Source organism: Homo sapiens, chromosome 4 (assembly GCF_000001405.40).
Source record: "Homo sapiens chromosome 4, GRCh38.p14 Primary Assembly".
NCBI classification, from domain to species: Eukaryota; Metazoa; Chordata; class Mammalia; order Primates; family Hominidae; genus Homo; species Homo sapiens.
In genome coordinates this window covers 123,038,030-123,062,273 of record NC_000004.12, presented here as the reverse complement: position 1 = coordinate 123,062,273, position 24,244 = coordinate 123,038,030, and the positions used below count along the sequence as shown (strand labels likewise).

The following is a 24,244-nucleotide window of genomic DNA, read 5'->3' as shown; positions in this document are numbered from 1 at the left end:
AACAATGAAATTGACTAATGACTGAATTTCTCAGTATGTAAACTGCCTCCCTTCATTAAGTAACACATGACGAGCCATTGAGAGAGGGAGGTATACACTAAACACATGTGTTCTCTGAAAAGTTCAATTTGATGAAGACTACCAGAGGAAATAACATCTAGAAGCTGCAAATCATTAGCATCTCTTATGTATCTGGTAATTCCTACTGAGCTAAACTCCTATGAAAGCAAGATATTACTACAAAGTGCCTTGTCTGGTTTCTCACATCACTTTATTTCAGAGACATTTTAAGAGAACTTTGCTACATATTCTACCTCCCATCTGGTTCATATTTAACAGGATATCCCTCCCACCTGTTCCTTTTTAGGGTCCAAAACCAGATGTCTCTGATGTCACATAACTGTGGAAGGTCACACTACTTCAGCAAAATTCTCTGGCTTTTCTTCTCTTGTAGTTAGGTAAACCTGAGTTTTGTAACACTCTGTGCCATCTTAAAACGTAAGTAATAAAAGGGCTTGAGTGCTTCACTTCACAAAGCAAAAAGACTGGTAAGTATTCATGGAATACCAAATGTGAGGGGGGTGGAAAGCAGGGCAGCTGGTATGGTTTGACTGTGTCTCCAACCAAGTCTCACCTTGAATTGTAATAATCCCCATGTGTCAAGGGCAGGGCCAGGTGGAGGTAATCGAATCATGGAGGTGGTTTCCCCCACACTGTTATTGTGGTAGTGAATAAGCATCACAAGATCTAATGATTTTATAAAGGGGAGTTGCCCTGCACAAGCTCTCTTGCCTGCCACCACGTAAGACATGCCTTTGTTCCTCCTTCACCTTCCTCCATGATTGTGAGGCTCCCCAGCGATGTGGAACTAATGAGTTCATTAAACCTCTTTTTCTTTATAAATTATCCAGTCTTGGGTATTTCTTCATAGTAGTATAAAAATGGACTAATCCAGTAAACTGGTAACGGTAGAGTGGGGTGCTGCTGTAAAGATACCTGAAAATGTGGAAGCAACTTTAGAACTGAGTAACAGGTGAAGGTTGGTACAGTTTGGAGGGCTCAGAAGAAAACAGGAAAATGTGGGAAAGTTTGGAACTTCCTAGAGACTTGGAGGGCTCAGAAGACAGGAAGATGTGGGAAAATTTGGAACTTCCTAGAGACGTGTTAAGTGGCTTTGACCAAAATGCTGACAGCAATATGGAACAATAAAATCCAGGCTGAGGTGGTCTCAGATGAAAATGAGGAACATGTTGGAAACTGGAGTAAATGTTACTCTTGCTATACAAAGAGACTGGTGGCATTTTGTCCCTGCCCTAGAGATCTGTAGAACTTTGAACATGAGAGAGATTATTTGGGATATCTGGTGGAAGAAATTTCTAAGCAGCAAAGCAGTCAAGATGTGACAAGGCATAAAAGTTTGGAATTTTGTAGCCTGAAGATACAGTAGAAAAGAAAAACTCATTTCCCGGGGAGAAATTCAAGCCAGCTGCAGTAATTTGCTTAAGTAACAAGGAACCAAATGCTAATGCCAAGACAATGGGGAAAATGTCTCCAGGGAAGATCAGAGACCTTCCCTGCAGCCCCTCCCATCACAGGCCTGCAAACCTAGGAGGGAAAAATGGTTTTCTGGGCCAGGTCCAGGGCCCCCCCTGCCACTGCTGAGTGCATCCTCAGGACTTGGTGCCCTGCATCCCAGCCGCTCCAGGCATGGCTAAAAGGGGTCAAGGTACAGCTTGGGCCATGGCTTCAGACGGTGCAAGCCCCAAGCCTTGGCAGCTTCCACATGGAGTTGAGCCTGCGGTTGTGCAGAAGTCGAGAATTGAGGTTTGGGAACTTCCGCCTAGATTTCAGAAGATGTTGGAAATCCCTGGATGTTCAGGCAGAGGTGTGCTGCAGGGGCAGGGCCCTTATGAGAACCTCTGCTAGGACAGAGTGGAAGGGAAATGTGGGGTTGGAGCTCCCACACAGAGTCCCCACTGGGGCACCACCTAGTGGAGCTGTGAGAAAAGAGCCACGATCCTCCACACCCTAGAATGGTAGGTTACTGACAGCTTGCACCATGTGCCTGTGGCACCATGTTGCTGCAGATACTCAACACCAGCCTGTGAAAGCAGCCAGAGGGAGGCTGTACCCTGCCAAGCTACAGAGGCAGAGCTGCCCAAGACCATGGGAACCCCTCTCTTGCATCAGTGTGACCTGGATGTGAGGCATGGATCAAAGGAGATCATTTTGAAGCTTTAAGATTTGACTATCTTTACAAGAAAAAAACAAACAACCCCATCAAAAAGTGGGCAAAGGACATGAACAGACACTTCTCAAAAAAAGACATTTATGCAGCCAAAAAACACATGAAAAAATGCTCACCATCACTGGCCATCAGAGAAATGCAAATCAAAACCACAATGAAATACCATCTCACACCAGTTAGAATGGCGATCATTAAAAAGTCAGGAAACAACAGGTGCTGGAGAGGATGTGGAGAAATAGGAACACTTTTACACTGTTGGTGGGACTGTAAACTAGTTCAACCATTGTGGAAGTCAGTGTGGCGATTCCTCAGGGATCTAGAACTAGAAATACCATTTGACCCAGCCATCCCATTACTGGGTATATACTCAAAGGACTATAAATCATGCTGGTATAAAGACACATGCACACGTATGTTTATTGTGGCACTATTCACAATAGCAAAGACTTGGAACCAACCCAAATGTCCAACAATGATAGACAGGATTAAGAAAATGTGGCACAGATACACCATGGAATACTATGCAGCCATAAAAAATGATGAGTTCATGTCCTTTGTAGGGACATGGATGAAATTGGAAATCATCATTCTCAGTAAACTATCTCAAGAACAAAAAACCAAACACTGCATATTCTCACTCATAGGTGGGAATTGAACAATGAGAACACATGGACACCGGAAGGGGAACATCACACTCGGGGGACTGTTGTGGGGTCGGGGGAGGGGGGAGGGATGGCTTTAGGAGATATACCTAATGCTAAATGACGAGTTAATGGGTGCAGCACACCAGTATGGCATATGTATACATATGTAACTAACCTGCACATTGTGCACATGTACCCTAAAACTTAAAGTATAATAATAATAAAATAAAATAAAATAAAATAAAAAAGAAAAGAAAAAAAAAAGATTTGACTGCCCTGCTGGATTTTGGACTTGCATGGGGCCTTTAGCCCTTTAATTTTGACCAATTTCTCCCATTTGGAACGGGTGTATTTATCCAATGCCTGTACCCCCATAGTACCTAGGAAGTAACAAATTTGCTTTTGATTTTATAGGCTCATAGGTGGAAGGGACTTGACTTGTCTCAGATGAGACTTTGGTCTGTGGACTTTTGAGTTAATGCTGAAATGAGTTAAGACTTTGAGGGACTGTTGAGAAGGCATGAATGATTCTGAAATGTGAAGACATGAGATTTGGAGGGGCCGGGGCGGAATGATATGGTTTGGCTGTGTCTCCACCCAAATCTCATCTTGAATTGTAGCCCCCATAATTCCCACATGTTGTGGGAGGGACCCAGTGGGAGATTAACTGAATCATGGGGGTGGTTTCCCCCATACTGTTTTCATGGTAGTGAATCAGTCTCACGAGATCTGATTTTTTGTTTTGTTTTGTTTTTTGAGATGGAGTTTCGCTCTTGTTGCCCAGGGTGGAGTGCGATGGAGCAGTCTCAGCTCACCGCAACCTCCACCTCCTGGGCTCAAGCAATTCTCCTGCCTCAGCCTCCCAAGTAGCTGGAATTACAGGCAACCACCACCACGCCCAGCTAATTTCTATATTTTTAGTAGAGACAGCGTTTCACCATGTGGGCCAGGCTAGTCTCAAACTCCTGACCTCAAATGATTCGCCCACCTCGGCCTGCCAAAGTGCTGGGATTACAGGCGTGAGCCACGGCGCCCAGCCCGATCTGACGGTTTTATAAGGGGTTTCCCCTTTCACTTGGCTCTCATTCTCTCTTGCCTGTCACCACCTAAGAGATGTCTTTCGCCTTCCACCATGATTGTGAGGTCTCCTAGCCACGTGGAACTGTGAGTCCATTAAACCTCTTTTTCTTTATAAATTACCCAGTCTCGAGTATGTCTTTATCAGCAGCACGAAAATGGACTAATATAGCAGTCTACCTCCTAATGATAGGTTCCTAATGACAATTTATACTCTCATCACATGAGGCAGCTCTAATTAAGAAGGATGATAACAGCAATGTTTCATATCACACTTACTACTGACACCTGTAAGTTGTCTTCACCCTTCACTGTAATTACCACCAGCAAAAATTTTATAATCAATATACACATCAAGAAGCTATGCACAAAGTACATGAATTTACATTACCCAACATGAACCACTTGTAGAACATATTAAAGGACCGCTATACATTTGTAGAGGAAAAAAACATACTTATGAACAGTTCTGATGTGTGTGTGTGTGTGTGTGTATATATTTGTTTGAAATGACATCATAGATAATCCTCTTTACTGCCTGAGATTTTGGAGCAAAACTATTAATACTAATTTATATTCTATTTAATTTTACTTTAGGAAACATTTATTCCAGAGAATTTTAAAATCTGTGTAACGTATTTTATAATTTTGTTCTACTACAAGAAGTAATTATGATTAATCCAGTTTTGTTTACAGTTTTAATTATATGTTTACAATAACCCTAATTTTGATAGACAATACTAAGAAGTATGTGTTGATATAAACTATAAAAATTAACTCAAATGCCCAGACAGGTATCAGTGGTTTTTATCCAATATAGATAAAAGTACTATACAGTAATTACATGAAATAATTTAATGGGTATAAGAGGAAAAAATTACAAAAACTGAAAACTTTTTTAGGCCAAATGTATTAATAGATAAAAGTTGTATACAAAATGCTATTTATACCATAATTGCTATTATTATGTAACATCATATTATTATGTAATAGCAGTGCTATTAAATACTTCTTACCTGCCCCTTTCAACTGCTAAGGCATCCAGTTCATCAAAGAAAATAATGGAAGGCGCCACTGCTCTTGCTTTTCGGAAGGTCTGGTGGAAAGAGTGCCACATTAGCTAAAGATGAGCAAACACTAGAAAATTCTGTAGTTGGTTTGTTTTAAAACTATATTTAGAACCAAACCTATTAGGTACAAGTCAACAAGCCCAGTCACTTTGTATAGACCTTGTAATAGATGTTCAGAACTTTATAATGGATGTAAAAGTATCCCCTTCAATAGTGCTTAAAGAGACAAGACTATCAATACATATTCACATAGGTGTGAAGGAGGCAATTCAGTTAAGCAATCAGAAAATTTCAGTTAAAATCCCAGCTGCACTACTAGTAACTGTGTGACTTTCAGCAGTTAACTTCACTTCTGTAAGCCTCGATTTCTACATCTATAAAATGGAGATAATAAACACCTACCTCAGAAAGTTATTTTAATAATTGAATTTTAAAAAGAACACAAAGCATTTGGCACAATGCCTGAAACAGTAAGAGCTCAATAAATGATAGGTATTATTAACTATTAGTAACAGCATTAACTATTTTAACAGAAATGCTGGCTATTATTATCAGAAAAAATGATAGTTTTAAAAGGGCTGGTAATATGATGTTTAAAAACAAAACTGAAGTATTGCAGATGATCAAAACTGCATTTTTAAATAATAAAATAATATTTACCTGAAGAAAAAAAAATACCACTAAGATCTGACTTCGGAAATGCCAAAGTCTGTTACCTAAAACAAAAGGGAAGCTGCACAGGACAGAAGTGTGATTCTCCTGTGCTGAGTGCCACTAAAGGCACAATTTCTTACCTCTCTAACTGCTCTTTCAGATTCACCAACATATTTATTCATTAATTCAGGCCCCTGCATGAAAAGAAAACAACTGTTCAGTGTCTTTATAAATGCAATCATGTATATTTCTTCCAATGAAGTAGAAAAAATATACACAAAAGAGAAAATAAACAAAATCTGCTTATTAATCCCTTTAGCATGCTTATTTTCTCTGTTTGTTATTTGTGCCTTAAAAGTTAAAGCCATTCTACATTCCAAAAACCACACATCAATACAAAGGAAAGGCTGTGACTAATCATAATATTTTAACAACTTATTCATCATCTGTCTATAACTCTATCCACATTTTTACACTATATCAGATGTGGTGCTAGGCACAGAAGATGGAACAGCCATTTCTCAGGCCTAACCACTGGCTAGCTCTAAGCAGGTCTACTTACCAGATCTGAAGATGCACATTTTTTGACATTAATATTTCTGAACTTTAATATTTCTTATTTCTCAAGTACCTAGAATATCAAATATTGTAAGAAACACAGCAGACTTTCTTTTTTACCACATACATATCTACTCTCTTAAGATAAACAGTCACCACAAGAAGTTATGAATTAAATTGTCCCATAATGATAGATGACCTCAGTTGTGGGGATGTTTCTCCGAGCATCTGGCTATTCTGACACAGTTCCTCATACATCCCGAAGAACAAGAGACATGTGTGTGTGTCTCTCTCTCCCTCTCTCTGTGTGTGCGCACGAGCATGCATGCATGCACAAACACATACACACACCCCTTACTTTGAACAAGATTCATATTCTATTCCATGCAGATCACGGGTCCAGCCAATTCCGAGGATGTAACAAGACACTGACTTAAGTATTTCCTAAACAATTTATATTAATTTTTAAAAATCTGACTGACTGAAACACAAAGGCAAACCCTAGCAGAATGTTAACTAATCCCAAACTGGTATGGGCAGTATTTGGCTTCATATAAAACACCATATTACAAGGAAAATTAGCATACTGTATGACAAGTACTATGATAGAGCAATGCACAGGTACCATCAAAACATACAGAAGAAACTCCTTAGAGTCAAGAAATGTTCCTAGAGAAAGTAACATTTCAGGTTAGTCCTCAGTTGATTTATTTCACATCCTCAAAAATATGAAATACATCAAGACCCAGGAAGAAATCAAAAAGGTCTCTGATGAGCCAAAATAGATGTTACTATATGAACTTTGTTGTAGAAGAGCTCTTAAGGTCTTTACGCTGAGTTCATTGACTTTTAAATTACATACAATGAATACACTTGAACAGAACTGATATAAGAATTTACTACACGTGAATCATAGGGTGCAGGGAGATTGTGGCAATCAATAAAGCTACTTAAAGTGGGAGGCAGGGGTTCAGATTTTATCGTGTAAGCAATAGGAAGGGTTTTATGAAAGTTAAGTGATAACAGAGGTATTAATGAAAGATGATTCTGGCCACAGTATAAACGATGTTTAGGAGGAATATTAAGAGTCCAGAAGTCGAGAGAACAGTTATAAAATGCTTAGAATAGTAAAGGGGAAAAATAATGAGGAACAAGTTTAAGGCAAAGGAGTGCAATGGAAATGAGAAGATAGCCACAAAAACAATTAAAAATATAAAATTAATGTGTTGTGGATAGCAAAATGTGAAGATGAGAGTGGGGTGTAGAATAATTCAAATTTGACTTAACATTACTAATTTTTTTTTTGAGATGAAGTCTTGCACTGTCACCCAGGCTGGAGTGCAGTGGCGCTATCTCGGCTCACTGCAAGCTCCGCCTCCTGGGTTCACACCATTCTCCTGCCTCAGCCTTCCAAGTAGCTGGGACTACAGGTGCCCGCCACCACACCCGGCTAATTTTTTGTACTTTTAGTAGAGACAGGGTTTCACTGTGTTAGCCAGGATGGTCTCAATCTCCTGACCTCGTCATCTGCCTGCCTCGGCCTCCCAAAGTAACATTACTATTTTTGATGTTCACGATAATGACTTAATTCATAAAAAAAAAAAAGGATGCTCAATATATTCTGTGTAGCAATTTCTCTTAAGTATGTAGTTCATAGAGTGACACCACCAAGATGGCGAAATAGAAGGTAACCTGCTCATATATGCCCACAATAAAAAGAATTATCCATCCATCCACAATTGTGAAACCCTAAGACACAGGAGGGTCACTTTGAGAGGGTACACTAACACCCAAGTGACTGATCTGCTCCACTGAGCTTGCTTTTGCATTCAAGCCCAGAAGTAGCCCTGTCTCTCAAGGGGCTTGACTATAGCCCCATTTGACCTTGAGCCTGCAACCAAAATCATCTGCCAAAGGGTTCAGAGAAATCATGCACACTAATGCCTTGGCAGAAAAGCTCATCAGCCCACTGATAACTGGTCTCAGTAGTGAACCTGGAAGTTGAACTGTGACACTGCTCCAGGCCTCCCTAGCTGAGGTCCCAGCTTATAGTTGCTTACACAAGAAACCAGGGGGAGATTCACACAAATCTCATGGCCTGGGACTCTGATCCTCCCCGACATGCTCACCAGCCTCTATCCCACAACATATCCTGAGGAGACCCAGTCTAAGCCCCGCCCAGTGCAGTAGAGGAACTATCCTATCTGTGCTGAGACCTGCTGGGAGATGCATGCCACTCTGAGCCAACAAGACAAGCTTTCCAAATCCGTCCCTACAGCAGAGTCCAAGGGGGCCCAGTCTTAGCTCCAGCCCCTCCTGCTGCAGTCTGGGAGCTATCCCATCTATGTACGGACCTGCTGGGAGACACATGCCCATCTGAGCCAATGTGACAAGAACACCAACCTCCATCCCACAGCAGATTCCAAGGGAGCCCAGTCTCAGTACCAGACCCCCCTGTTACAGTCAAGCACTTTTGCAATGACCAGCTGAGTGATGCATGCTGATATGAGCAAATAAGTCGGGGCCAGTCTCCTTCACACAGCAGATCCCAACGCAGCCCAGTCTCAACTCCAGGCCCTCTCACTGCAGTTAGCAGCCCATCCTGCCTGTGCAGAAATATGCTGAAAGGCACACTCATCTGGGTGATTGGGACAGTCTTCTGGACTCAGATCCCTGGCCAGCATTTCCACGCAGCCGGAGTATCTGCCTTGGGTCTACCCCAGGTCCATCTGGGCCAGAAAGCCATATCAACCAAAGAGATCCTGTGAGATTTGTGGCAAGCCTGGGCTCAGAGAGTCTCTGTGATGGTAAATATTAATTGTCAACTTGATTGGACTGAAGGATGCAAAATATTGTTTCTGGTTGGGTCTATGAGGATGTTGCCGGAGGAGATTAACACTTGGGTCAGTGGACTGGGCGACAAAGCCCCACCCTCAGTTTGGGTGGGTACCATCCAATCTGCTGCCAGTGTGGCTAGAAAAAGCAGGTGGAAGAAGATGAAATAAGCCGGCTTGCTGAGTCTTCTGGCTTTCATCTGTGCTGGATGCTTCCTGCCCTTGAATATCAAACTCCAGATTCTTCACCCTTTGGACTCTCAGACCTACACCAGTGGTTTGCCATTGGCTCTCAGGCCTTCAGCCACAGACTGAAGGCTACACTGTCAGCTTCCCTACCTTAGAGGCTTTGGGACTTGAACTGAGCCACTACTGGTTTCATTGCTCCTCAGCTTATAGATGGCCAACTGTGGGATTTTCACTTGTGATCATGTGAGTCAATTCTCCTTAATAAACTCCTTTTCATATACACATAATCCTATTAGTTCTGTCCCTCTGGAGAACCCTAATACAGTCTCCTAGTGTTTAGATAGCTGAAGTGGTCACAGGCTCAGGAAACACAATACTCAGTTGGCTTAGAATTCTTGGAAGGTCTCTAAAGAAGGACAGGCACAAACAAAGGAAGACTGTGAAGAGTAAAATAAATACTTAATCCCTCAATGCACAGACAGCCTGCAATTTCACAAGCATCAAGAAGATTCTGGGTAATATGATCTCAACAAATGGACATGAGGCACCAGAGGCCAACCCTAAAGTGATAGAGATATGTGACCTTTCAGACAAGGAATTCAAAATACCTGTTTTAAGAGAGCTCAATGAACTTCAAGAAAACAGACGGAATCGATTCAGAAATGTATCAGGGAAATTTAACAGAGATACTGAAATCATAAACAAAATCAAACAAAAATTGTGGAGCTGGAAAATACAATGAGCAAAATGAAAAATGGAATAGAGAATATCAACAGCAGGACTGATGAAAAGGAAGAAAGAATCAGTGAGCTTGAAGCCCAACTATTTGAAAATACACAGTCAGAGGAGAAAAAAGCAAAAGGAATGAAAAGAAATGAACGGTTTATGGGAGCTATGAGACAACATCAAAAGAACAAATATTCAGGTTACTGAAATGAAAGAAAAAAACTGAGAAAGACAAAGGGGTAGAAAGCTTATTCAAAGAAATACAAAAAACTTTCCAAAGCTTGAAAAGATATAAATATCCAGGTACATGAAGGTTAAAGGTCACCAACCAGGCTCAACTTTCCCTCTCCAAAATAAGAAACAACCCAAGATTTATAATTAAACTCACACAGATCAAAGATAAAGGATCCTGAAAGCAGCAAAGGAAAAGAAACAAATAACATATAAGGGAGATCCAATACACTTGGCAGCAGAATTTTCAGTGGGAACCTTAGGGTTGGAGGGAGTGAAATTATTCAGAATGCTGAAAGAAAATAAAAAACTTAACGAAGAATAGTGTACCCAGCAAAACTATCCTTCAGAAATAAAGGCCAGATAAAGACTTTCCCAGGCCAAAAAAAAAAAAAAAAAAAAGCTGAGGAAATTTATCACTACTAGACCTGTCCTATAAAAAAGGCTAATCAGAGTTCTTCAAACCAAAAGAAAAGAACATTAACGTTATTGTTATACTAATATGATAATCATGGTTCTTAAATCACTTATATCTTTAGTAAAAAGAAAATACAAAACAATTAAAAATAATTACAAGTACAATTTGTTAAGAGGCAATATAAAAACAGCAAGTTGTAAAATCAAAAATTCAAAATGTTGGAGGAGAGGAAGTTAAGGTGTACAAATTTTTCTTTTCATTTGTTTCTTATCTTGCAATCAAAGTTAAGTTGGTACCAGTTTGAAATAATTAATATAATATTTTTATAAGACTCAAGGTAATTACAAAGCTAAAAACTATAATATATACACTAAAAATAAAAAAGAACAAATTAAAACATGCTACCAGAGAAAAATCACTCAGCCACAAAAGAAGACAGTAAGAAAGAAGGAAACGAAAAGAAGAGTTACATAATACCAAAAAAAAAATGTATCGAAATGGTCAAAGTAAGGCCTTGCCTATCAATATTAAAATTGAATGTAAATAGACTAAATTCTCTAGTTAAAAAAGACCAAGAGTGGCTGAATGGATTAAAAAACAAGACCCTCACACCTGTAATCCCAGCACTTTGGGAGGCTGGGATGGATCGCTAGGTCAGGAGTTTGAGACCAACCTGACCAACTTGGTGAAACCCCATCTCTACTAAAAAAAAATTAGCTGGGCGTGGTGGCAGGTGCCTGTAATCCTAGTTACTCAGAAAGCTGAGGCAGGAGAATCGCTTAAACCCAGGAGGCAGAGGTTGCAGTGAGCCGAGAGAGTGCCACTGCACTCCAGTCTGGGCGAAAGGGCGAAAGAGCGAGACTCCATCTCCAAAAAAAAAAAAAAGACACAACTATATGCTGCCTAGAAGAAACTCTCTTCACCTCTAACAGCACATATAGACTAACAGTGAAGGAATGGAAAATGATATTCCATGCAAATGGAGACCAAAAAAAAGCAGGAGTAGCTATATTTATATCAGATAAAACAGATTTTAAGTCACAACTTGTAAAAAGAGACAAAGAAAGTCATTATATAATGATTTAGAAAAGTCAAATCAGCAAGAAGATATAACAAAATTAAAAACATGCACCCAACAGTGGAGCACCCAAATATATAAAGCAAATATTAATAGCTCTCGAGAGAGACAGACTGCAATGACTGCAATAAAATAATTGCAGGGGACCGCAATGCCCCACTTTGAGCAACAAACAGTTCAGGCAAAAAATCAACAAACAAACATTGGAGTTAAACTATACACCAAGTGGACCTAACAGACATTTACGGAACATTTCATCTAACTGCTGCAGAATATACACATTCTTGTTATCAGCACATGGCACATTATCCAGGATAGACCATACATTAACCACAAAATAAATCTCAACAAATTCAAAACAGTCAAAATCATATCAAGCATCTTTTTTGACCACAACCACCACAACAAAAACTAGAAATCAGTAACAAGAACAACTTTGGAAACTGTACAGTTTCTGTACAGTTCATATTTCTGAATGCCCAATGAGTCCACCAAAAAAAAAGAAAATTTTAAAATTTCTTGAAACCAGTGAAATAAATCACAAAATACTAGAATCTACAGATACACAAAAGCAGTACTAAGAGGGAAGTTTAAAGCCTTAAACACCCAAATCAAAGAAATATGAAGACTTCAAAGAAACAATCTAATAATGTACTTCAAGGAACTAGAAAAGCAAGAACAAACCAAACCCAAAATTACTACAAGAAAACAAATAATAAAGAGCAGAAATAAATGAAATTCAGACTAAAAAAATAAAAGATCAACAAATGAAAAGCTGATTTTTGAAACCATAAAATCAACAAAGCTTTGGCTAGACTACCTAAAAAAAAGAACACCTAAATAAATAAAATCAGAGAAGAGAAAGAAAAAATTACAACTGATACTACAGAAATACAAAGGATCATTAGAAACTATTATGAACAACTATACTCCAACAAATGGGAAAATCTAAAAGAATTGAATAAATTCCTGGACACAACTTACCAAGACTTAACCATGAAAAAAACAGAAAAGCAATAACAAGAAGATTGAAGCAATAAAAAGTCTCCCATCAAAGAAAAGCACAGGATTTGATGTCTTCTCTGCTGAATTCTACCAAACATTTAAAGAATTAACATAAATTCTGCTAATTATTAATATTTCAAAAAAAATGAAGGGAGAATACATTCAAATTTATTCAATGAAGGCAGCATTACCATGACAGCAAAACCAAAGACAAAACAAATAAAAAAAACTATCAATATCCCCGATAAACACAGATTTAAAAATCTTCAAAAAATACTAGCAAACCAAACTCAATAATACATTAAAAAGATCATTCACCACAATCAAGTGGGATTCATCCCAGGGATGCAAGGATGAACCAACATATGCGAATCAATAAACATTGAACACTGCATTAACAGAATCAAGGACAAAAACCATAGGATCATTTCAACAGATGCTGAAAAAACTGGGTAAAATTCAACATCCCTTCATGATAAAAACCTTCAATAAACAGGGTATTGAAGGAACATACTTCAATCTGATAAAGGGCATATATGACAAGCCCATAGCTACTATCATATGGAACAGGGAAAAATGGAAAGCCTTTACACCAAGATCTGAAACAAAGCAAAGATGTCCACTTTCACCACTTCTATTCAACATAATACTGCAAGTTTTGGCCAAAATTAGGAAAGAGAAAGAAATAAAGGGCATTCGAATTGAAAAGGAAGAAGTCAAATTGTGCTTGTTTGCAGATGACATAATCTCATATGTAGAAAAACCTAAAGACTCCACCAAAAGACTCTTAGAACTAATGAACTCAGTAAATTCCCAGATACACAATCAACATACAAAAATCAGTAGCACTTCTATACACCAATAGCAATTAATTTGAAAAAGAACTCAAGAAAGCAATTCCACTTACAATAACTTCAAAACAAACAAACAAAAACCTAGGAATAAATTTTCTTTGACCAAAGAAGTCAAAGATCTCTACAAGGAAAACTATATAAAACATTGATGAAAACAACTAAAGAGGACACACATAAAAAATGAACAGATATCCCATGCTCATGAATTAGAATAAGTATTGTTAAAATGTCTACACTACCCAAAGCAATCTACAGATTTAACTCAATCCCTATCAAAATACCAAGGGCATTCTTTGGTAGAAATAGAAAAAGCAATCCTAAATTTCATATGGATCCACACAAGACCCTGAGTAGATAAAGCAATCCTGAGCTAAAAGAACGAAGCTGGAAGCATAAAACAAAGTTATTTTAAATTATACTACAAAGCTACAGTAATAAAACAGCATGGTACTGGCATAAAAACAGGCACACAGACCAATGAAACAAAAGAGAGAACCCAGAAATAAATCCACATTCATTACAGTCAACTCATTTTCGACAAGGGCATCAAGAACACACACTGGGGAAAGAACAGTCTCTAATAAATGATACTGGAAAAAGTAAATATCCATATGCAGAAGGATGAAACTAAATCCACATTTTTCACCACAAACAAAAATCAATTCAAAATGTATTAAAGGCTTAAATGTGGCTAGGCACATGACTCACTCCTGTAATCCCAGCAACTCAGGAAGCAGAGGTGGGAGGATCACTTGAGGCCAGAAGTTTGAGCCTGCGCAACATATCAAGACCCCACCTCTACAATAATAATAATTTAAAAAAATAGGTGTAGTGGTTCACACCTGTATTCCTAGCTGCTCAGGAGGCTAAGAAAGGAAGATTGCTTGAACCCTGGAGTTCAAGGCTGAAGTAAGCTAAGATCACACCACTGCACTCCAGCCTGGGTGACAGAGTGAGACCCTGTCTCAAAAGGAAAAAAAAAAAAGCACTTAAACATAAGACCTGAATCTATGAAACTACTAGAAGAAAACTTGGGGAAATCACTGAGGAAATGCTATACAACAGTGGTCTGGGCAAGACCTCAAAAGTACAGGTAACAAAGGCAAAAAAAAAGACAAATTACCTCAACAGTGTCTGCACAGCAAAGGAAACAATTAAGAAAGTGAAGAGACAATCTACAGAATGAGAGAAAATATTAGCAAATTACCTATTCAGCAAAGAAATAATAACCAGAATAACAAAAGGAATTCAAACAACTCAGTAGCAAATATAAATAATCCAATAAAAAAATGCGCAAAAGAAAGATGGCCAATAACTATATGAAAAAATGTTCGACATCATAATCATCATGGAAATGCAAATCAAGACCACAATGATCTCTTATCTTATGCAAGTTAGAATGGTTATTATCAAAAAGACAAAAATAAGAAATGCTGGAGAAGATGCAGAGAAAGGAAATCATGTGTACACTGTCGATGGGAATGTAAATTAGTATAGCCATTTACGGAAAGCAGTGGGGAGGTTCCTCAAAAAACTAAAAACAGAACTACCATATGATCTAGCAATTCCACTACTGGGTTTACTACCAAAAAAAAGGAAAGCAGTCTTTCCAAGAGATATCTGCACTCCTATGTCTATTGTAGCACTATTTACAACAGCCAGGGTATGGAGTCAACCTAAGTGTTCATCAATTATTATTTAGCCATTAAAAAAATGAGATCCTGTCATCTGCAGCAACGCAGATAAAATGAGAGGTCATTATGTTAAGTGCAATAAGCTAGGCACAGAAAAGACAAATACTTTATGTTCTCACTCATATGTGCAAGCTAAAAATGTGGATCTCATGGTGGTAAAGCGTAGAATGGTGGTTACCAGAGCCTGAGGAGGGAAGAGAGGAGGAGGGAGATGAAAAAAAATTGGCTAATGGGTACAAAACCACAGTTAGAAGGAGTAAGTACCAGTATTCAGTAGTACAGTAGAGACATCATAGTTAACAACAATTTACTGCATATTTCAAGATAACTAAAAGAGGAGAATTGTAATGTTCCCGAAACCAAGAAAAGATCAATGTTTGAGGTGATGAAGACTCCAATTATCCCAATTTGATCAGTACATATTGTATACACATCAAAATATCACATGTGCCTGCAAAATATGTACAACTATGATACACCAATAAAAAATACAAAAATAAATGCGTAGCTCATTAAAAATACTGTACTCCAAAATGATTAAAATAAAAAATGTATAATTGCAATCATAAGTACTAACATATATTGAACCTTGACTATGTGCCATGAACTGTTCTAAGCACTTTATTAACTCAGCTATGTAAAATGTCAAAGCTGCACAGAGTTACAACTGACTTTCCATCTGCGATTAATTAATGCCAAGAGCACACAAAAGACAGCTTAAAAGAGGGCCTGCTAGCCAAACTGGTGCAACTGAGACATCAGTACAAATAGTGATACTGAGAAATCATAAACCACTGAATAGAAAGGAATTTATGATCCCATAAAAACGAAATAAATTTAAAAATCTCTTAAGAAATAGGGTATTTATTTCTTTTTCTTTCTTTCTTTTTTTTTTTTGAGATGGAGTCTCACTCTATCACCCACGCTGGAGGGCAGTGGTGCAATCTCCACTCACTACAACCTCTGCTTCCCAGGTTCAAGTGATCCTCCTGCCTCAGCTTCCTGAGGTAGCTGGGATTACAGGTATATGTCACCACGCCTGGCTAATTTTTGTATTTTTAGTAGAGACGGGGTTCCACTATGTTGGCCAGGCTGGTCTCAAACTCCTGACCTCAGGTCACCCACCCATCTCAGCCCCGCAAAGTGCTGGGATTACAGGCATGAACCACCTCGCCCGGCCAAAACAGGATATTTATATAGTCCCAAAATAACTTCCCACAAAATATTAACTTAACAGGAAAAAGAGTAATTTTACAATGAAGAAGCCTGGCTGACACCACCATAATCAAAGTTAACATCACTAGAAATACGACAAGTTAAAATCAAGTATCACCTGATAGAATGCAATGAGAAGAATGCAGCATCCTTTCTAAGAATAACCTAAATCTAATCATGAGGGAATGTCATGCAAATCTCAATTTAAGGATATTTTTCACAATAACTACCCTGTAATCTACAAAAATGTCAAGGTCACTAAAGTAAAGAAGACTGAAGAAACTGTTACCAACTGAAGAAATCTTCACGGATGTGACAAATAAATGCAACACATGATTCTGGACTAACTTATTTTGTCATAAAGGAAATTATTGGGACCGCTGACAAAACTTGAGTGACAATAATAATGCTCATTTCTAATTTTATGGTTACACTGTGGTTATGTAAGAGAATTTGATTTTGTAGAAATACGCACTGAAGTATTCAGCTGTGATGGGGCATATGGCAGCAACTAAATTCAAATGGTTGAAGAAAAAAATGTTTGTGACTGTTCTTGCAAATTTTCTGTAAAGTTTAGAGATCTTAAAGAAATAGAAGAAACAAAAACTTGATCCAAATATAAAAACATTGGAGAAAAAAAGTTCAATACAAATAGATATAGAAATAAAAGAAGTGATAAAATTGGCAAACAAGATCTTAAAAACAGGTATCGTAAATATTTTCAAAAATTTTCAGGAAAACACTATGCAGTTATTGACCTGGCCAAAAGAAATTTTTAAAAAAAGAAGAAGACAAAAAAGAATTTTAAGGAAAACATTAAAATTATGAGGAAAAGATAGAAAACATAAAAAGAACCAAATGAAGCTTCTACAGCTAAAAGATATAATATTGGAAATTTTAAAGTGCACTAAATAAGCTTACAAGCTGAAGAAAAAAATCAGTAAATTTGGAGACAGAACAACCATTCAAAGTAAGCATAGAAACAAAAAAGATTGACAAAAAAAAAAATGACATCCTCAGAGACACAGGTCCCTTAATAACAACAATATTAAGAGGTTTAATATATGAGGGGTCTTCAAAAAGTTCATGTAAAAGATGTATTATTTTAAAAATTATGCATGGATTTCAGTTATTTTTGCACCAAAATAAATTCATACTAACTTGTTAAAACATGTCTGAACAGAGTCCAGTTTGAGGCACTAAGGGTAAGATACCAGTTTGAAAACAGTTTGTCAGAGCCACATGAATTTTGTTAAAATTGAAGCAAGAAGAAGCAAATTTATGGTGAAGCTTGGATAGAAAAATGGTAAAACTATTGATGCTTTATGAAAAGTTCATGAGACAATGCCCTAATGAGATAGCAGTTTACAAATGGATAACTGAAAGAACAAGACTATGTTGAAGATGAAGACCCCAGCAGCTGACCTTCCACATCAGTTTGCAAGGAAAAAACTCATCTTGTTTGTTCCCTAATTGAAGAAGATAAATGATTAACAGCACAAACAATACCCACCACCAGAGCCACCGCAATTGGTTCAGGTTAAACAATTCTGACTGAAAAATTAAAGTTGTGCAAACTTTCCACATGATTAGGGCCAAAATCCTTATGCCCAGATCAGCTGCATACAAGGGCAGAGCTTTCAATCAAAACTGTAAACAAGTGGGATCAAGATTTTGACGTACTGCTTCAAAGAATTGTAACAGGAAATGAAACACAGCTCTACAGATCTTGAAGACAAAGCACAATCAAAGCAATGGCTACCAAGAGATAGAAGTAGTCCAGTCAAAGCAAACATGGACTGGTCAAGAGCAAAGGTCATGGCAACAGTTTTTCTGAATGCTCAAGATATTTTGCCTGTTGACTTTCCAAAGAATAATAATATCTGCTGACTGCAAGTGTTTTGAGAAAGTGAGCAAAAGCTTTAGCACAAAAATGCCCAGGAAAGCTTCACCAGAGTCCTCCTTTACCACAAAGTTTATGCTTATTTGTCTCATCAAACAAGGGCAATTTTGCAGGAATTTCAATGGGACATCATTAGGCATTTATCTTACAATCCTGATTTAGCAACTTCTGACTTCTTTTTGTTTCTTAATCTTTAAAAATTTTTAAAGGGCACCCATTTTTATTCAATTACTAATGTAAAAAATATAACACTGATATGATTAATTTCCCAGGACACTCAGTTCTTTAGGGATAGACTAAATGACTGGTATCATCACTTACAAAAGTATCTTGAACTTGATGGACCTTATGTTGAGAAATAAAGTTTATATTTTTTATCTTTTAATTCCATTTTTCCATGAACTTTTTGAAGTCCCCTCATATATACAATTGAAAAGTCAGGAAAAAAAAGTGGAAGAAGATGACAAAAACATAGGCAAATTTGATTTTTAAAAATATTAACTAGATCCAAAAAAGCTCAGTGAAATCCAAGTAAGGAAACTACATCAAGATGCATCATTATCAAATTACTAAAAACTGATAAGAAAGAGAAAGTCTTAAGAGAAATGAGAATATAAGAACACATTATATATCTGTAAGCAAAGAACTACTGCTGACTTCTTATCAGAAACAATTCAAGCCAAGTGACAATGGAGGACAAGTGCTGCAAGAAAAAACCTGTCAAGCTAGAATGGCATATCCTTAAAAATGAAAGGTGAGGACAAGATATTATCAGACAAACAGAAGCTGAGAGGATATGTCACTAGTAGATCTCCACTACAAGAAATATTAAAACAATTTCTAAAGCTTGATGGGAATTTATATCAAATGGAAACCTAGATCTATACAAAGAAATGAAGAGGGTTAGAAACGGCAAATATATGAATAAATATAGAATAGCTCTTTTTTCAATTAATTTCTTTAAGAGGTAACTGACTAAAAGTTTTAACTCTACAATATAAAGTTTATTGTGTATTTAGAGGTAAAATACAGAATACAGCACAAGAAAACAAAAGTATATTGATGTAAGAACTTAAACTATAAATAAAGTGGTGCAGTGTTATTTGAAGACAGAATGTAAGTATGTATAGTATAGATGCTTGAGCAAGTATTTTTTTAAGTAAAATAAAGAGGCTTAGCTATTAAGATAATAGAGGAGATAATATACAATATCAAAATGCACTGAATGCAAAAGAAAAGAGGAGAAAAGGGAAAAGAACAGAAATGGCAAACAGACAAAAATTATGGACATTAACAAATCTTTCAAGTTGGAAACATGCCTGATGAAAACGAGACCACCTTTAATACTGTTTTTGTATGGTGCTGCTATGGACCAAATTTGTCCCTCCCAAATTCATATGCTGAAATCCTAATCCACAATGTGATATTAGAAGACAGGGCCCTTGGGAAGTAATTAGTTCATGAGGGTGGAGCCCTCATGAATGAGATTAGTGTCCTTATAAGAAGAGACAGGAGAGCTTGATATCTCTCTCTCTCTCTCTGCTTTCCACTATGTGAGGCTATGTCAAGATGACCACATGAAAGCCAAGCAGCAAACCCTAAGAAGACACCACATCTGCCAGCACTTTGATCTTGGACTTCCCAGCCTCCAGGATTGTGAGAAATAGATTTCTGTTGTTTAAACCACCCAGTCTATGGTATTTTGTTATAGCAGCCTGAAATAAGACAATTACCTTCACAATGCTGCTTCAAAAATATTGAAATATGATAATATGGTAATAGATGAGTAGGTTAGAAGATATGAGAATCAGGGTAGAAAAGTTAAGAGCAAAAATAAGAAAGGGATAGGAAGAACATCTCAAAGTTCAGACTGACAGAATCCAGCTTCCACCAAGGACACTGCCTTGCATCATATTCAATTAAGATGAGGGAGATACCTAATAGCATAAACACAGGAATCCTTAAGTAATGACAGAAGTAGTTTTATCTTTCTGCCTGATTTTTTTCTATTAACCCAAGATGATTAATCTTTTTGAAAAACTGTTTCAGGCCAGATGCAGTGGATCACGCCTGTAATCCCAGCACTTTGGGAGGCTGAGGTGGGCGGATCACCTAAGGTCAGGAGTTCAAGACCAGCCTGACCAACATGGAGAAACCACATCTCTACTAAAAATACAAAATTAGCTGGGAGTAGTAGCACATGCCTGTAATCCAAGCTTGGGAGACTCAGGCAGGAGAATCGCTTGAACCTGGGAGGCAGCAGTTGCTGTGAGCCGAGATCACGCCATTGCACTCCAGCCTAGACAACAAGAGCGAAACTCCGTCTCAAAAAAACAACAAAAACAAACAAACAAAAAAACCCCAAAAAACTGTTTCAGAGTAATAGATTATACATAGTCTAAAAATCAATATTTGAGGCTAATTAGGAGACAGATACATGAAAAGAATAATCATAGGCCGGGCGCGGTGGCTCACGCCTGTAATCCCAGCACTTTGGGAGGCCGAGGTGGGTGGATCATGAGGTCAGGAGATCGAGACTATCCTGGCTAACACGGTGAAACCCCGTCTCTACTAAAAATACAAAAAAAAAAAAAAAAATTAGCTGGGCGTGGTGGCGGGCACCTGTAATCCCAGCTACTTGGGAAGCTGAGGCAGAAGAATGGCGTGAACCCGGGAGGTGGAGCTTGCAGTGAGCTGAGATTGCACCACTGCACTCCAGCCTGGGTGACAGAGCAAGACTCCGTCTCAAAAATAATAATAATAATAAATAAAAAATTATAAAAAAGAAGAGTAATAATTAAAAATATTATCTTTCATTTAAGACAGATAATATCATTACATCACTGACTGAAATCTACAAACCACAGAATACACAAATAGACAAAGTGATTATGTATCCATAAGTAAACAAGGATTTGCTTGGCACAGTGTTTTGGATGAGTAATTATTTATAATTAGTATATCAATTATTTGTACATTGGTACTTAAACTGTAAGCAATCATGTTTCCACAATAAAATTATTGTTAAGCTTAAGATACTACAGAGTGACTTCATAATTACAATTTAATCACCAATACTTCCATATCTCAATTTTTTAAATAATGCAACTACCAAACAGATTTAACTTAAAAAAAGACAAACAATGAAACATTAATTATGCTGAGGCAAAATGTTCTCATACTTCTAAGGATTTTGAAGAAAAAGAAACAATACCAAATCAATTTTACAAGCTTATTTTTAGATACAGGTTAGACTATGTAACAGCGACACAATGTTTACACCCACAGCCGTCACTGAGGTAAATAAACTTGAAGGCAGTTTTCCACGTATTGTGGGATCTAAAAAGACGAAATATAAAGAGCCAGAGAGTAAATATTTTGGGCTGTATATGCCACATAAAGTCTTTGTCACATATTCTTCTTGTTAATATCCCTTTAAAAATGAAAAATTCATTCTTAGCTAGGGAGCTGGACCAAAATACACTGCAGGCCAGATTATGTCTAAAGACTATGACCTCTGATGTAGATTAATCTCATATAATTTGAAAGAGTTCACTTTTGTCTATAAGATCAAAAGTCATCAAAAATGTCAATGACATAATTGCTAAGGAGTGAACAATCTTCAAAATATTTAAAAAATTGATTGATACAAATTAAGCAAAAAAAATTAATGACACACAAAAAAAGCAATTTCAAACTATCTAGTAATGTTGAAGCGTACATGTCCAATAACAATAACAACTTCTTCTAGATACGTATACCCTACAGAAACTCTTACCAATATACAAAAGAAAATGAATAAGAATATTACTGAGCACTGTTTATAACAACAATAAAAATAAAAGGTGGAAGTGTCTTAAAAATTCATTAACATAAAAATGAGTAAATAAATTGTTGTGTCCTCATAAAATGGAGTACTAGGCTGTCAGTGTGTGAATGAAGGGCTAGTCAAAGAAATAAGTTAAGAGGTAGGGAAACTAGCAAGGGATCTGTTATACAGCCAAAATGCACTGCCTCAACATTTATAACCAAGAATGAACGTTCTTAATGTTTTGACAAAATGTTTAAAAGTTATGTAACACTTGTAATTTTTCCCACTGATTAAGATCATTCTGCATAATTTCACCTTGCACAATCATTTTTACAGCCCTATACTACAGCCCTATACTTGCTTTGTACTAGACTGCAAAGCAAGAAATGCCTGTAGTATAGGGCTGTAAAAACGATTGTAGTACAAAGCAAGAAATGCCTATTCATAACATAATATAAAGTCAAATAAACAAAACTAGTACTTTTCATTTACATGTGGTAAATTAAGTTTTACACAAGGGGGACTGTGGACAAGGAATTAAGAAAGTGAACACTAAAACAAGGATCAGGGCCCACCCAATAAAACAAGCTTTAGATAAACAGCAGAGTGTGTTTTTGTTGAGGGGTTAGGGGTGGTAAGAAATTTGTATGCAGATTTTATTCAGTTTAGAGCAACTACCTAGGCAAACTGTGGCCTGACAATAATCAGAAAGGAAATTGCTGGGGTCACTGTTTTTATTGCAATTACCATCATGCCAACTCTACATTATTGCTGTTGTTCTTACAGCAATTGTCTGCAAAAGCCAAGGATATGGCATAAAATAATAATCCAGTGAAGAGATTTCTTTATTCAGGCAATGTAACTGAATGTATATATACTGCTTTTTAATTATCTGGCTTAACTGAAGGAAAGAGATTAGAGAACCTGGAAAAATGGTCATTGTTCTCTGTAGATGATGAAGATAACCTAGGCATTAATGTTAGAAAGTACAAGATTATGGTCATTTCATGATTTTTTTCTCTGCTAAGTACAATGTCAATATCTTGGTATCAATAGAAAGATTAATATGGTTTATTAATAAATATCCAACATACAGGTAAACATTCTTGATACTTTGTTTGAAAATGTGAAAATATAGTATAAAGCCTCAACCAATTGAAGGGTCACTCCACTGCCACAGAAAGGTGGACTACAGGACCTGTGGATAAGAATGAAACAATGCTTCTTCCTCCAAAACAAAACAAAACAGAAAGAAAAAAAATTAAGACATTTGAAACTCTAACTTGAAAATCTGGCACTGTGAAGAAAATACGCATTGGAATAATTCAAGTCAAGTGTTACTAATAAGGCATAATGAAAAGACTGCAGGGTCCCTAGAAAATATGACTTTGTACAGGACTATGTACTGATGAATCTTACCTAGATGGCCTGCAAAATGCAACCCAAGTAGCTGAACTCGTATGTTGCATTGGTCTCGAGTTTTATGAGAAGTCACAGCAATTTCATTACCAAGGGAGGTTATTTTAAGCTTGAAGTTTAAGTTGCCAAAAATCACTGTATTTTGGTACAAAGAGTTTAAAAGTCTATATTCAGTTTCAAAGATAAATATTACACTTTACTACTAACAGAAAACTTAAGGAATCATAAGCTGTGATGTCATATTTTTGCTCCATTTGAGGTCAAACATACATCAATTTCTTAAAAATGGAAGAGAGCAGCAATCAGCATGTACTAATTTTGTGGAATCTTTCTATATGCTTACTATGTCTTATCCCTTTTACTGCTTGCAACAGTCTTCTGAGTTGTACACTGTTACTACAATTTTACAGAAAAAAATATTAAGTGCAAAGAGGTGAAGTAATTTGTCCAAAGTCACACAGCTTAGCAAATGGCAGAACTGGGATACAAGTCTTTTAACTATTACACTTGACAGTTAGAGAAACTGCCCCAAATATTTGGCCACCATTGGCACAAAAGATATGCAACAGATTAAAGTACAAGTACTGTGACCTACTCATAGAATGTTATTAGCAGA

The 24,244-nt window shown here is 37.2% G+C and overlaps 1 protein-coding gene across 17 annotated transcripts in view; it reads right to left on the bottom strand.

Annotated features, from left to right (window-relative positions):
• Nucleotides 1-24,244, bottom strand: part of AFG2A (AAA ATPase AFG2A) — a 396,356-nt gene that overhangs the window by 257,160 nt on the left and 114,952 nt on the right. For 15 of the 17 annotated variants that reach the window (NM_001438322.1, NM_145207.3, NM_001437913.1 and 12 more), the window contains 2 exons: nt 5,834-5,887; nt 4,986-5,065 (listed from right to left, as the gene is read on the bottom strand). The exons of the other annotated variants lie outside the window; for them this stretch is intronic. In NM_001438322.1, the coding sequence (NP_001425251.1) occupies nt 4,986-5,065; nt 5,834-5,887 (134 nt within the window). The remainder of the gene's footprint in view (nt 1-4,985; nt 5,066-5,833; nt 5,888-24,244) is intronic. 17 annotated transcript variants of the gene reach the window in all.